Source organism: Homo sapiens, chromosome X (genome assembly GCF_000001405.40).
Source record: "Homo sapiens chromosome X, GRCh38.p14 Primary Assembly".
NCBI classification, from domain to species: domain Eukaryota; kingdom Metazoa; phylum Chordata; class Mammalia; order Primates; family Hominidae; genus Homo; species Homo sapiens.
The window spans coordinates 54,482,548-54,498,439 of NC_000023.11; the positions used below are offsets into that span (position 1 = coordinate 54,482,548).

The 15,892-nt window shown below is 50.9% G+C and overlaps 1 protein-coding gene across 1 annotated transcript in view, besides 1 other annotated feature; it reads right to left on the reverse strand.

Annotated features, from left to right (window-relative positions):
• Nucleotides 1-13,687, reverse strand: part of FGD1 (FYVE, RhoGEF and PH domain containing 1) — a 50,781-nt gene extending 37,094 nt beyond the window's left edge. The window contains exon 1 of the mRNA NM_004463.3: nucleotides 12,579-13,687. Coding sequence (NP_004454.2) covers nucleotides 12,579-12,885 — 307 coding nt within the window. The 5' untranslated portion in view covers nucleotides 12,886-13,687. The remainder of the gene's footprint in view (nucleotides 1-12,578) is intronic.
• Nucleotides 13,750-13,799: a silencer, noted in NCBI's record as "silent region_20864". NCBI's record gives its function as "represses an Ori minimal core promoter by ATAC-STARR-seq in GM12878 lymphoblastoid cells {active_cell/tissue: GM12878}" and the evidence as "EXISTENCE:reporter gene assay evidence [ECO:0000049][PMID:35858748]".

The following is a 15,892-nucleotide window of genomic DNA, read 5'->3' on the forward strand; positions in this document are numbered from 1 at the left end:
TGAGGCAAAGCCGCTAGGGGGATGGTCCCTCTGACCCTTGCCTCAACCCCAGGGACCCCAACACCCACCCATCTCCCTTCCCATTCACCAGAGGCCTGGCCAAATCTGAGAGTTGGAGACACAGAAGGATTATGAGGGGAAAAGACAGATGATAAGAGAAAGACACTGGGACAAACACAAGGAGGGAGAGGACAGGAAAACCACAGAGACCCAGAGATGGACATAGAGGGAGATGGACAAAAGGAAGGGACAAGTCAGAAGGGAGACAGAGACAGAAAGGTCCACACAGGGCATGGTAGTCAGCGAGGGATACAGACCCAGGCAGAGGGGCAGGAACAAAAAGGGCAGGCCAGGGCCATCTGTTGAACATGGTGACAATGTGCCATGCCAAGGGCTGGGGATGGATCTGTGGCATTGAATCCTTACAACAACCCTAGAAGGTGGGAATGACAGCCCCATTTTCCAGATGAGAAAACCGAGGCTCAGAGGGGTGAGATGACTTGCCCAAGGTCACGTGACACTTTAGAAAGTGGCGGACCTGGGTCTGGGGGGCTCTCTCTGCTGCCAGCCCCTGCCAGAGTCAGGGAGGCCCAAACAGAGATCCCTGAGGGAATTCTCCAGAGAGAGAGAAGCAGTCAGCAAGCCTGGGAGATGCTCCCTAAGAGATGCGGTGAAAGTGACCCCAGCCTTCCCTGCCCCTCCCACACCCGCGCGGTGGGGGAGGGGCTGCGTCTACACCTGGAATGCATTAGGTAGGGGGGTCCCCCAGCCTAGGGGAGCAGGGAAGGGGCTGGAGGGGGAGCAGGGAAGGCAAAGGCAAAGGCGAAGGCAAAGGCGGTGGTGTGGGCGGTGGCGGCCCAGGCCTAGCAGGCCCTGGCGGGCGGAAGGGCTTCTATGCCAGCTGCAGCTCCCAAAGGCCAGCCCTGCCAGTCCCGCCTTTCCCGCTTTCCACAGGCGCCTTCCCTCCGCGATTTAACCCTTTCCCTGCAGGGGCCATGGGGAAGCGCCAAGGAGGGCTCTTCCCTCTTAGTCTCAGCTACATACCTGTGCCCCTCACCCACCTGCCCTTACTCTGGGACCCAGATAGGCATATCTGATGCCAACTGGGTGCTGTCACCTAGATGTCCTGTCTTCAGGCTCCTCAGCCTCAGCACATCGTGAACGACACTCCTACCCCAGCCCCGGTCTGCTTCTCCTCCTGCCTTCCCCATCGCAGGAAGGACAACTCCATCCGCCCAGCTGCCCAAGCCCAAGTCCTAGGTTTATTCCTCTCCCTCAACCCACATGTCCAGCCAGGCCCCAAGTCCTTTAGATGCACCATGGTCAGTTGCTCTAGAATCCCTATGCTTCATTCCCCCTCCAGCCCCCTAACTGATTTCACTCCCATCTTCCGGGCCTCTACGAGGCATTCTCTACACCACTGCCAGCTTTTGGAAAACACAGTCCCCTGCAATCCCTTCAGCCTTGTGAAGGGCTCCCTTTGCCTTCAGGGGTGAAACTCCTGAGCACAGGGACAAGGAAGGCCTAGCTCAGGAACATTTCCCCGCCCCACGATCCAGCCACAATGGCCGTTTGTCTGTTCCTCGAAAGTGCTCTCTTCCGCCTAGGGCTTTGGCACATGTTGTTCCCGTGACCCGAACTGCTAGTCTGCCTCTCCCTACCTCTGGACTCCTATTTATCCTTCAGGTCTCAACTCAAATATCTCCTTTGCCCTGTCCGCCCACTCCCCCCACCCTCATGTGTTCTTGCAGCATCTGCACTTGGAATTGCTTGTAGTGTGTCTTTCCTGCTAGATATCAGCTCCACGAGGACAGGGATAGTGACTGTCTTGTTGCCTACCTGGCACCTAAGCACAGGGCCTAGCACATAGTAGGCACTCAACAGGTACATGTTAAATAAAGAAATGCCCCCCTTGCTCCCCTCTTTCACTCTCCCTTCCCCTGTACCCTATTTGCTCACCAAGTATTATTTATTGATGCCACAATGACCAGGTTTGTGGTATTACAAATAGGGAAACTAAGACCCTGAGAGGGGAAGGGAGGCCTGGAGGAACAGTGAACCAATAGCAGAGCTAGGAGTGCTGAGGCTCCCCCGGCTATGCCCTGCAGCCTTGTCTCAGGAGCTGTGTGTGTTTTCAGACACCGTTTGGAGGTGTCACACCTTCTAGGTCCAAGGAACTGGGCACCAGAGCCCAGAGAGGCTGGACTCATTGCTCCAAAGATGTTTGCTCTCTCCAGATGAGGGAACTGAACTCTGTGGTGCTAGCCAATGGCAGACTGCATTTCCTGCCCTCATTCCAGACAGGTCCTAGCCCCACCCAGCCAGCGTCTGGCCAGCTCCACATCTGCCTAAGGCATTTAGCTAACTGGCCCCCAGAAAGCCATGGCTTGGGTTTGTGTGGGGCATTGTTAGCTGCCACTCCACTCTCCCTTGAGGAAGCAGGCAGCCCCACCTGGGCCCTCCCCCAGGGACAGAGGGGCCTGAAAGGGCCAAGAGCGGACTGCCAGCCATCTGCAATTTAGAAGCTTCTATTCTTTTAGTCTTGTCTGGGGAAGTCCTTTTCCCAGCTACCCAGAGTCTTTACATTTTGTTGTGTTTGTTTGGAAGGCCCTAGTGGACTAGGAACCAAATTTGGTTCTTTCCCCAGACTCTCCCCTGGAATCTCAAACTACTTCTCTCCAAAACTCCCCAGCAGACCCCACGATCCCCTCCTGTCCCAAGCCCTCTCTTCTCCTTTCCGTAAGCAAACCCCCTCACTGGCCTCTCAGGATGCCCTCAACAGAGAGAACACTGGGAACCACACAAATTTACTTTACCAATGTTTGATTTGCTTTTCAGAAGTACTCCTCCCTCAATACTTTGCAATAGCCAGCTACCCTGGGTGTACGTGAAATGGGTCTCAGCTTCATGCAAATATGTTTATTTATTTATTATTTTTTGAGACAGAGTCTCACTTTGTCACCCAGGCTGGAGTGCAGTGGCACAATCATACTTCACTGCAGCCTCGAACTCCTGGACACAAGTGATCCTTCCACCTCAGCCTCTCAAGTAGCTGTGACTACAGGCATACACCACCATGCCCTGCTAATTTAAAAATATTTTTTGTAGAGACGGGGTCTCACTATGTAGCCCAGGCTGGTCATGAACTCCTGCCCTTAAGCAATCCTCCCCTATCAGCCTCCGAAAGTGCTAGGATTACAGGTGTGAGGCACCATGACTGGCTTCAAATATGCTTTTTTTTTTTTTGAGATGGAGTCTCGCTCTGTTGCCAGACTGGAGTGCAGTGGCAAGATCTCGGCTCACTGCAACTTCCACCTCCTGGGTTCAAGCAATTCTCCTGCCTCAGTCTCCCGAGTAGCTGGGACTACAGGCGTGCGCCACCACGCCTGGCTAATTTTTGTATTTTTAGTAGAGACAGGGTTTCACCATGTTGGCCAGGATGGTCTCAATCTCTTGACCTTGTGATCCACCCACCTCGGCCTCCCAAAGTGCTGGGATTACAGGCGTGAGCCACCGTGCCCGGCAAATATGCTTTATTTTATTTATTTTATTTTTTTGAGACAGAGTCTCGCTCTGTCACCCAGGCTGGAGCGCAGTGGCACAATCTCGACTCACTGCAACCTCTGCCTCCTGGGTTCAAGCAATTCTCCTGCCTCAGCCTCCTGAGTAGCTGGGATTATGGGCATGTGCCACCATACCTGGATGATTTTTTTTTTCTTAGAGACGGAGTCTCGCTCTGTCACCAGGCTGGAGTGCAGTGGCACGATCTTGGCTCACAGCAACCTCCACCTCCCGGGTTCAAGTGATTCTCCTGCCTCAGCCTCCCGAGTAGCTGGGACTACAGGCATGCGCCACCACGCCCAGCTAATTTTGTATTTTTAGTAGAGACAGGTTTTCACCATGTTGGCCAGGATGGTCTCGATCTCTTGACCTTGTGATCCACCCACCTTGGCCTCCCAAAGTGCTGGGATTACAGGCATGAGCCACTGCGCCTGGCTGATTTCTGTATTTTTAGTAGAGACAACATTACGCCATGTTAGCCAGGCTGGTTTCAAACTCCTGGCCTCAAGTGATCCACCCGCCTTGGCCTCCCAAAGTGCTGGGATTACTGGCGTGTGCCACCGTGCCCGGTCGATTTTATTTTTTAAGACACAGTCTTGGCCTGGCATGGTGGCTCATGCTTGTAATCTCAGCACTTTGGGAGGCCAAGGCGGGCGGATCACAAGGTCAGGAGTTCAAGACCAGCCTGGCCAACATGGTGAAACTCTTTCCCTACTTAAAATACAAAAATTAGCTGGGCATGGTGGTGTGCGCCTGTAATCCCAGCTACTGGGAAGACTGAGGCAGGAGAATTGCTTGAACGGGGACCTGGGAGGTGGAGGTTGCAGTGAGCCGAGATTGCCACTGCACTCCAGCCTGGGCGACAGAGCAAGACTCCGTCAAAAAGCAAAAACAAAGAAAACAACAACAACAACAAAACCACAGTCTTGCTCTGTCACCCAGGCTGGAGTGCAGTGGTGCAATTTTGGCTCACTGCAACCTCTGCCTCCCGGGGTCAAGTGATTCTCGTGCCTCAGCGTCCTGAGCAGCTGAGATTACAGGTGTGAGCCACCGTGCCCAGCCCTCAAATATGCCTTAAAAACGGCTGGGTCTCAGCTTCATGAAAATATACTTTAAAAACTGCTTTCCCCTGAAAAAAGGCATTTCTATGGCAAAGTTACAGCAGGTACTGAATAATTCATCTGAGTGTGACCCTGCCAACCTTACTGTCTGTCTTCAAGGATGGGACTGGCTCCCAGATCTATACATGGTATGTGTTGGTGGTGAAAACTCCCAAACATCACTGGCCCAGGCCTCTTTCCTGAACTTTCCAATCTTACGTCCAAATGCCTGCTTGCGAGATGACACAAACAAATGGGAAAACATTCCATGCTCATGGATAGGAAGACTCAATATTGTTCAAATGGCCATACTGCCCAAAGCAATTTACAGATTCAATGCTATTCCTATCAAACTACCAATGACATTCTTCACAGAATTTTAAAAAACTATTTAAAAATTAATATAGAACCAAAAGTGTCCAAATAGCCAAGGCAATCCTAAGTAAAAAGAACAAAGCCAGCTGGGCATGGTGGCTCAAGCTTATAATCCCAGCACTTTGGGAGGCCGAGGCAGGCGGATCACCTGAGGTCAGGAGTTCGAGACCAGTCTGGCCAACATGGAGAAACCATGTCTCTACTAAAAATACAAAAATTAGCCAAGCATGGTGGCGGGCGCCTGTAATCCCAGCTACTCAGGAGGCTGAGACAGGAGAATCACTTGAGCCCAGGAGGCAGAGGTTGCAGTGAGCCGAGATCATGCCACTGCACTCCAGCCTGGGCGACAGAGTGACACGCCGTCTGAAAAAACCAACCAAACAAACAAACAAACAAAAAAACCAAACCACGGTGGCTCACGCCTGTAATCCTAGCACTTTGGGAGGCCGAGGCGGGCAGATCACGAGGTCAGGAGTTCAAGACCAGCCTGGCCAACGTGGCGAAACCCCATCTCTACTAAAAATACAAAAATTAGCTGGGCACAGTGGCGTGTGCCTGTAATCCCAGCTACTCGAGAGGCTGAGGCAGGAGAATTGCTTGAACCAGGACCCGGGAGGAGGAGGTTGCAGTGAGCCGAGATCATGCCACTGCACTTCAGCCTGGGCTACAGAGCGAGACTCAGTCTCAAAAAAAAAAAAAAAAAAAAAAAAAAAAAAAAAAGGCCAGGTGCGGTGGCTCACGCCTGTAATCCCAGCACTTTGGGAGGCCGAGGCGGGTGGATCACGAGGTCAGGAGATCAACACCACCCTGGCTAACACGGTGAAACCCCGTCTCTACTAAAAATACAAAAAATTAGCCAGGCGTGATGGCGGGTGCCTGTAGTCCCAGCTACTTGGGAGACTGAGGCAGGAGAATTGCTTGAACCCGGGAGGCGGAGCTTGCAGTGAGCCAAGATCACGCCACTGCACTCCAGCCTGGGTGACAGAGCGAGACTCCATCTCAACAACAACAACAAAACAACAACAAAAAACAAAACCAGAGGCATCACACTACCGACTTTAAACTATACTTACAGGGCTACAGTAACCAAAACAGCATGGTACTGGACAAAAACAGATACACAGACCAATGGAACAGAATAGAGAGCCCAGAAATAAGGCCGCACACCTACAACCATCTAACCTCTGACAGAGTTGACAAAAGAAGCAATAGGGAAAGGACTCCCTAGTCAATAAATGGTGCTGAGATAACTGGCTAGCCACATGCAGAAGACTGAAACTGGACCCCTTCCTTACACCATATACTAAAATCAACTCAAGATGGATTAAAGACTTAAATGTAAAACCCAAAACTATAAAAACCCTGGAAGACAACCTAGGAAATACCATTTTGGACATAGGACCTGGCAAAGATTTCATAATGAAGGCACTAAAAGCAATTACAACAAAAACAAAAATTGACAAATGGGACCTAATTAAATGAAAGAACTTCTGCACAGCAAAAGAAACTATCAACAGAGTAAACAACCTACAGAATGGGAGAAAATATTTGCAAACTATGAATCTGACAAAGGTCCAATATCCAGAATCTGTAAGGAACTTAAATCAACAAGCAATAAACAACCCCATTAAAAAGTGGGCAAAGGACTTGAACAGACACTTTTCAAAAGAAGACATACATGTGGCCGATAAGCATATGAAAAAAATGCTCAACATCAGCCAGGCGTGGTGGCTCACGCCTATAATCCTAGCATTTTGGGAGGCCGAGGCGGTTGGATCACCTCAGGTCAGGAGTTCGAGACCAGCCTGGCCAACATGGCAAAACCCCGTCTCTACTAAAAATACAAAGATCAGCTGGGTGTGGTGCCACCAAGCACCTGTAATCTCAGCTACTTGGGAGGCTGAGGTGGGAGAATTGCTTCAACCTGGGAGGCGGAGGTTGCAGTGAACTGAGATAGAGCCACTGCACTCCAGCCTGGGTGACAGAGAAAAAAAAAAAGAAAAAATGCTCAACATCACTAATCATTAGAGAAATGCAAATCAAAACCACAATGAGATACCATTTCACACCAGTCGGAATGGCTATTACTAAAAAGTCAAAAAATAACATGCCAGGTTGCAGAGAAAAGGAAATGCTTATACACTACTGGTGGGAATATAAATTAGTTCAGCCATTGTGGAAAGCAGTTTGGTGATTTCTCAAATAACTCAAGCAGAATTACCATTCAACTCAGTAATCTCATTATTGGGTATACACTCAAAGAAGTATAAATCGTTCTACCATAAAGACACATGCATATGTATGTTCATCACAGTGCTATTCACAATATCGAAGACATGGAATTAACCCAAATGCCCATCAATAGTAGACTGGACAAAGAAAATGTGTTATGTATACACCATGGAATACTATGCAGCCATAAAAAAGAATGAGATCACGTCCTTTGCAGAAACATGGATGGAGCTAGAGGCCATTATCCTTAGCAAACTAAGGCAGGAACAGAAAACCAAATACTGCATGTTCTCACTTATAAATGGGAGCTAAACATTGAGTACATATGGACACAAAGAAACAAAAAGCAGACACCGGAGCCTATTTGAGGGTGGAGGGAGGGAGGAGGGTAAGGATCGAAAAACTACCTATCGGGTACTATGCTTATTACCTGGGTGGTGAAATAATCTGTATACCAAATCCCCCTGACATGCAGTTTACCCATATAACAAACTTGCACATGTACCCCTGAACCTAAAATAAAAGTTTAAAAAAAGATTATGGTAAATCCATACAATGGCATATTATTATGCAGTCATTAAAATGTTGTTCAAAAAAAATAAAATGTTCATGAAGAGTTTTTAATGATATTGGAAAAATACATATATTAAATGAAAAAGCATGATATAAAGTTGAACATATAGTATGATTTCAATTATGTAAAATATACGTCAATATGTAGAAAAAGATCTAGCAGAAAACAGACCAAAATATTAAAAGTGATCATCCTGGGTAGTAAAAAACAAAAATGAACCAAACCCACAAATGCCTGCTGGCCATCTTCACCTGCATGTACCCCCAGGCGTTTCGAATTCAACTTGTCTCAAACATAATTCACTATCTTCCCTCAAACCTCCTCCCTCTCTTGTATATAGATGGCCCCACCAACATCCACCAGGTCACTGTAGTTGGTTTCAGAAAACAACATGGAGCAATCTGGACTTTGCCTTCTGTCTCAGCCTCTACATCCAAGCTACTACCAAGGCCTGTCCATGCTAGCATCTAAATATCTCTCAGATCTTACCCTCCTTACCTCCCATCGCTCTAACTCAAGCTATCACCTCTCTCTGGGAAAACTGCAACACTCACCTGCCTGTCTCCCTGCTTCCACTCTTGCACCCCTTCCATCCATTCTCCCCATGCAGCTAGGGAGAGTTTCCAAACACCCCGTCTGAGCATGTCATTCTCGTTAATAAACCCTTCGATGGTTTCTCTTCACCCTCAGAAGAAAGTTCCTTGTCAGCCTTGTCACTCCACTCCTCCCAATACCAGCCCTATTCCCCAGTGCCCCATGTCTCGCTGCCTTTGCTTCCACTGAACCTCTTACCTGAATTGTCCTCCATGTTCTTCTCTAGCTCTACAACCCTTTATTGACACCCCTCTAGAACCCTTCCTTAGGGCCAGATCCTGCACTGGGCACTGATGATGCCAGGGTTTCCTCTGCCTAGAGTCCCAGAATGGCAACTGCCTTCCAATTTGAACTGCCAAATGGTAGCCATTCACGAGAGCTGAGAATAAGGGTAAACTGAGGCAGCCAGTGTTTGTGTGTATGAGGGCAGGAGGTTGACTCTCCCTTTGTGTTTAATCCCATGCCTCCATTTGCGGTTGGGAGTGAGTTGACAGAAGCCCACATGGGGCCCTGGGGAAAGGGCCTTAGATGGGGAGGCCGATGTATTCTCCTGGCCCTAATGATGCTGACTCACTGTAGGATGATGGCTAAAAAAATCACTACCTCTCTGAGCCTTCCTCACTGTCCCATCTGGAAAACGGACTTAACTAGTGGTTCCCACTCTAGGCTGTGCATCACAATCACCTAAGGAGCTTTTGAAAATAGGTTCCTTGGTTGTCAACCCCAAGATTCTGGCACTCTGAGGTGGAGTGTGGAATCACATTTTTTTTTAAGGTCAACAAGAGATTCTGATGCTCACTCAGTTAGGGAAACTCAGAACGAGGCAGTATCTAGAGTCTTTTCTAGCTCCAATTCTTACTCTTGGAGACTCTGAAGATGCCTCAGGATCCAAATGAGAAAGAGTCAGCCCCTCCCCTTGCCCCCCTCAACTGGCTCAGTTTCCCCCATTACCCACAAAACGGCTCTAACATCAGGTGCAACTCCTTTGACTTAGCTAGGGTCAGACACCAATATCCCCACAATCCCTGCATCTGAAAGGACATTCTAGGCCTCAACCCTGAGGAATAGAGCAACCATCTCTGCAAACCCCTGCAAGCAAACCGCTTTCTGACTCTCTCAAACCCCTCTCTGGCATTTCACTGGGTTTTCCCAGTGATCCAACAAGGACTTCGGTTTAATCAACCTGGAAAATGGGCATAATAACAACTGTACCTTTCCCCACCAGGAAGCAGACAGGATCACTAAAAGAGAAAGCACTTTGAAGCAATTCAAGGCTGTTCACATGGCTAAGATACAATTATTATTTTTAAAAGCCTCCCCCCACCCCCAGGATGAGCCACTGAGCCCTAAAGATGGTGATTCAATAAAGGTCTCAGCAGTGTTAGGGAGGAAGTCAGCAGGCACACAGAAATCTTAACATGTGGACCAGCATGTTTCAGCCCTTTAATTGAAGCTCAGGAAACCCTCTCTGTCTCTCTCTTACACACACACCCTACAACCACTAACCCTGCCCTCTTAGGGCCAATTATAGGCGAGTCCCATGGAGAGAGAAGCCAAGTCACTTGTGCCTACCCCTGGGCCGGCTGGGCAGTGGGGGAGGTGGCCTCTCACAACCCATGCTGCAGTGAATCACATGGCCCGGCGCCCGCCTAGTCAGGGCCTGAGTAATTCCTCCGCCTCTTCTTCAGAAGGTTTTTCTCTTATTTTTTAACTTAATTTTATTTTTTTAAACTCCTGGTTGCTGAGGATTTATACCATGCTGCAGGCTTTACAACCATTAATTCATAGACTCCTCATTGCATTCTCTAGATGAAGAAACTGAGGTTCAGAGAAGAAAAGTCACTCACCCAGGGTCACAAAGTGAATTAGTTAGAATAGGAGGCCAGGTCCTTCCCTGACACTTGTCTTATTCCTAATCCCCATCTTGAATCAAAAAAAAAAAAAAAAAAGACACCCACTATGCAATTACAGAGGCAAGGACTTCGTTGGGGAAAAGGATCCTGGGAACTCTGTGTTGCCTTTTTGGGGAGGAGGAGAGTGGTTTAGGAAGGGTATTATGATTTGTAATTTGAATGAATTGGTGGATTGGGAAGGCATACTCAGAATCATCACCTTGTATTGATTACAGAGGCCAGAGACTGGGGGTCTAGACATTGCCCAGCTACTGACTTTCAGATCAAGAGTATCCAGAGGGCAGGAATTTGGTGTCCTTCTTTTAGGCAATAGTTACTGAGGGCCTACTATGTGCTTCTTTAGTATCTGTTTAGGCATTTATTTAATGAGGATTTCTTGAACACCTACTGCGTGTTAGGCACTGCGCTAGTTGCTGGGGATACAACAGTGAGCAAAAGAGATATAATCGCCTTGCCCCCATGGAGCTCACATTCTAGTAGAGGAAGATAGGCAATAAACGAGTAGACACATACAATAAGATAATTTCAGATTGTACTAAGTGCAAAGATGGAAGCACACTCACAGTCTCTGATGGAGACTCACAAGTGGCCCTACCTAAAGTGGTTAGGGACAGTCTCTTGGAAGAGGTGACATTTGACCTGAGACATGCAAGACGAGGAGCAAGCCAGGTGGAGGGCTAGGGGAAGAGCTTCCAGCCAGAAGGAAAAGCCAATGCAAAAGTCCTGGGGTGGGAGTGCTTGTGGCCTGTTTTGGCAGCTGCAAAAAGGCACTGGCTTTACACAGTGTCAAGGGGAGTTTGGAAAGCCAGCAGAAGTAACATGCAGGCCAAGGTGTTAAGGGCCTGTTGCCAGCTGGTTATCTTCAGCCCACACTGAGGGAGCCCCCTGAAATCTCCCAGAGGTTCCATGACTAGCCCAAGGTCATGAAGGCACCAAAAGGCACATCCTACCCATGCTTTATACTTCACTACTGCTACCTGGTGCAAGGCCACGGTCCCAGAGATCTGTGGAGCCTGAGGTGTGAACCCGGGAGCCCCCAAGGGCTTAACAACTCCTTCAGTCCCAGTGGAAGGCAGGGCAGATGTGCGCTGCTCTTCTTCTGTGGCTCCTGGGCTCAGGCCCGTATGAGAATGTCCCCAGATGGGGAAGGTCCTGCTGTGCTCCTCAGACACTCAGGTCTGTGTAGCACAAAGGCAGTGGTCTGTGGCCTCAGCCTGACTTAAAGCTGCTCCACCTTTTCAAATCCAAGAAACCATCCTGATTTCACATCACAACCAACCTCGTGGACCTGCAGCTCTCCAGCTCCTGCTACAACTGGCTTCTGCCTCTGTTGGCTTTTCTGCTGTCTCCCTACCTATCAGCCCCTCCAGCCTTCTCCTCTAGCCTGACTCCCAAGGCCCACCTCTTCCACCTTTCTCTCTCAGCACCTTCTACTCCTTCCTTCCCTTGTTCTCCCGCCACACACACCTGGCAAAATCTCAACCTTGGATCAATCCACCGTCTTTCTTTTTTTTTTTTTTTTTTTTTTTTTCCGCTCATACTCCAGGGCTGCTGAATAGTACAGGAGAAAATCACATAAGCAGAAGGCTTGGCATTACTTTCATGGTCTCCAGCCTCAGTTTGGGGAAGCAGAAAGACCACAGACTTTGGACACAAACAGATCTGGTTTGAATCGTGGCTCCATACTAGCTGTGTGACCTTGGGCAAGTTGCTTAACTTCTCTGAGCTTCAGTTTCCTTCCCTACAAAATGGGACTAATGGTATCTACTTCATGAGGGTTCCTGAAGCTGAAATGAAAATCCATGTAAAGCACCCAGTCCAGTGCCTGGTACAATGTAGGCGCTTGGCAAATGTAAGGCTCCTTTTTTTCTTCTGTTCTCCAAACGAAACCCTGGTTTCCCCAACCAAATATCCAAGGATTGCTGCCTTGCAATCCTCCCTCTTTTTCTCGCGAGTGCTCCCTCTCCCATTAGCCTCAGCAGACAGAGGAGAAGGGGGTTGGAGAGGTTGAGGGGCACAAGGGACAGAGAGAGGAGATGGGGACAGAGGTTGAAAGGACTGGACATAAGGCCAAGGGACGTGGGGAGGAGGAGGGGTTTGAGGGAACCCAAAGGGCCGAGGTAAGCGAGCCTGTTCCGAGGTGGGGCTTAGAGGGCTCGAGAACAAGAACCCGCTCCCAGTACCAGGCCCGTGGCCCGGGCTCCCATGCTCTCTCAGTCGCTCACTCACCAGGCCGAGGCTGCGAGCCCTCCAGGTGGTAAGAGAAGCGCAGGGCCCGGTGGTGCTGTGGACTGGGACCGCAGGGCAAGACCCGGTGGCCTGGAGCAGCGCCCAGGCTGGTGTCCGAGGGTCCGACAAACTGGGGATCCAGTGGGCCGCCAAGAGCCGAACCTGAGCCCCTGCGCGCCAGCAGTCCGGGTTCCGAGGCTCCAGGGTCCGAGTCGGCACAGGCCGGCGGAGCGGCGCCCGGCGGGTTCGTGGCCGGGTGTTCGGGCTCCGAAGGCCCGGCGCCCCCCGGGGCTCGGTGGCCATGCATGGTCCGGGCCTGGGCGCGGGGCCCGAGCTCCCCGCTTGGCTCCAGCTCCTGGGGCGGAGGCGCGGGCGGAGGAGGCCCGGCGCCCGGCGGAGCAGCGGCCTCAGGATCGGGGGGCGGGACTGCGGGCTCAGCCCCACTGCAGAGACTCAAGCCCCCAGCCCGGGCCCGGGCCAGCAGCCGTGGCAGCGGTGGCAGTAGCAGCAGCAGCAGCCGCGGCCACCGCCGCTGCCGTGCCAGGCATCGCCGGCCCCGGCCCCGGCCCCGCGCGGGGAGTGGGCTCGGCGGGGCCGGGGGCCCGCTGGGGAGCGCTGTCTATGCGGCTGCGGTTGGGCGAGGGTTGGAGGGCTACGCTCGGCGGGGACTCTCCGGTGGACGGCGAGCCACTTCCGTGGCCCCGGGGCGAGAAGTCGGTCGGATCCAAGTGCGGGGTCTCTTCTTTCTCCCCGAATGGGAATAGATCTGGGCTCTCCTGGCTGGTTGGGAAGCGTTCTTCCTCCCGCCGCAGCCGAGGCCGGGGGCGGAGGAGAGGGGAGGGGAGAGGAGGGGAGGGAAGAGAGAACGGCGGTGGCCGGGGGCGCGCGTGTGCGCTGCGCTTGGGCTGCGGGGCTCGCCTTCAGCCAGTAGTCCCAGACGATGCTCCAGCCGCGGGGGCAGGAGAACGGCCTGGGCCGGGCTCCACCGTCCTCCCCAGCTTCAGCCTGGGTCTCGGCGGCGGCGGGCGGGAAGGAGCCCTGGGAAGGGGGGTGGGGAGGCGGGAGCCTCGCAGAGGCAGCCGCAGCCACAGCGGCACTGGGACCCAGTTACCGGGGCCCCGCCCCCTCGCCCGGGATTTGCGCCTGACCACGCCCCCTCGCTCGGGGCCGCCTCACTTCTCGCTGCTACCGCTCTCAAGGCCCTCCTGCCCCTTAAAAAATTCCCCCTCAGCCTGCTTTCCCCACAGGCAAGTCTCCGGGCTCAACCCCCTCCCCCCATATCTGCCCTTCCATCCCATCTCAGGTCTTCCCCCCTCTGCTTGCCGTTCACTCTCTTTTCCAAAACCCTTTCTTCATGTTCCTGAGTGTTCCTAGGGCTTGGCTCATAGAGGACCTGTCTCTGATTCTCCTTCACTTTGCTCAGACCAGATATCTTGGTCCCTTACTTAGTCACTTTCTTAAATACCCTCAGTTCCCTGATTTGTCGCATCCGCCTGGCAACATCCCAGTCTTGAATCGGTCCAACTGTCCGCCTTTTCCATGCCTGCGCCCAGGCAGCTAAACATTGCTGGGGAAAACTATTCAACTTCACAGATTTGTGCCACTATAAACCCATGGTTCCCAGCTTCTACCAGGCCCTCAGTTTTGACCCACAACCCTACTAGTCAGCTCTCCCTCTGTTCTCCACAGTGACCATTTCAAACCTTCTCCTTTCCCCTCAAACCCCAAGTGCTCCATCTGCCCTGTAACCCTCAGCAAATAACCTGACCTGCTGCAGAGAGTAAACAGAGCCACCGTAGAGGAAGCTCTTGACTTTTTGCTACGAAGCCTAGGAATTTGTCCTTGCTCCTTCCCAACAGCATCTAAACATAGACCTCTTCCATCTAAAAACAAATAAACAATTACCAAGAATTCTGCCTCTCCAACCACCTCCTTCTCTTCTCTTCTACAAACTTCTCAAAAGAGTTGCCTACACCCAACTGTCTTCATTTTCCCACCTCCCACTTATCTTTCAACCCACTCCAATCTGCCTCCACTACTTGCTTGAAACTGCTCTCTCTCATCAGGGTCTGCCATGAAACATCTCACTAAATCCCATAGAATCTTTTCTTTTTTTTTTTTTTTGAGACAAGAGTCTCACTCTGTCGCCCAGGCTGGAATGCAGCGGCACGATCTCGGCTCACTACAATCTCCGCCTCCTGGGTTCAAGCGATTCTTCTGCCTCAGCCTCCCGAGTAGCTACGCCCAGCTATTTTTTTGTATTTTTAGTAGAGACGGGGTTTCACCATACTGGCCAGGCTTGTCTCGAACTTCTAACCTTGTAATTCGCCGGCCTCTGTCTCCCAAAGTGCTGGGATTACAGGCGTCAGCCACCGCGCCCAGCCCCCATAGAATCTTTTCAGAGGTTATCCTACTTGGTTTCTTGATAGCATTTGGCACTGTTGACCACTCCCTCCTCCTTAAACCACTTCCATGACACTGCACTTTCCTTGTTTTTCTTCTACTTCCTTAGTAATTCTTTTTTTACTTTCCAGGCTCCTCTTTGTCCAACGCTTTATGCTGGTGCTCTTCAGGGCTTTGGCCTGAGCGCTCTTGTCCTCTCTCTACATGTGATTTTTTTTTCTTTCTTTCTTTCTGAGACAGAGTCTTGCTCTGTCGCCTAGGCTGGAGTGCAGTGGCGCGATCTAGGCTCACTGCAACTTCCGCCTACCGGGTTCAAGCTATTCTTCTGCCTCAGCCTCCCAAGTAGCTGGCATTACAGGCATGCACCACCAAGCCCGAATAATTTTTGTATTTTTAGTAGAGACGGGGTTTTGCCATATTGGCCAGGCAGGTCTCCAACTACTGACCTCAAGTGATCCACTTGAGGAAAGAGAAGCCTCGGATTACAGGCCGCTCTTTTCTTTATCTCATTTGCTCCCCTGGCTTCAATGATCATATCTTTGCTGATGACTCCCAAATTGATACCTCAAAACCAGATATTTCTCCTGACCCATGCATTCAACTGGTTATTAGGCAGCTCTACCTGAATATCCCAGAGACACCTAAAACCTCAGCTTCTTCCCAACTCAAGGCATCCTCCTTCCAACCTGTTTGTCCTTCTTTGTGTCTTACCTTAGTGAATGACCCCAGTCAAAGCAGAAACCCGGGTTACACCCTTAATTCTTTTCTCTCCTCCATCACCCATGCAGTCACCAAGTCCCATCATTTTGACCTCCTACCAAATCTATTTATGTAGTCTCTACATTTCTGGGGCCACTACCCTGGTTTAGACCAGAACCATTTCTAACCTGCAATACTGTCACAGCCTCCCT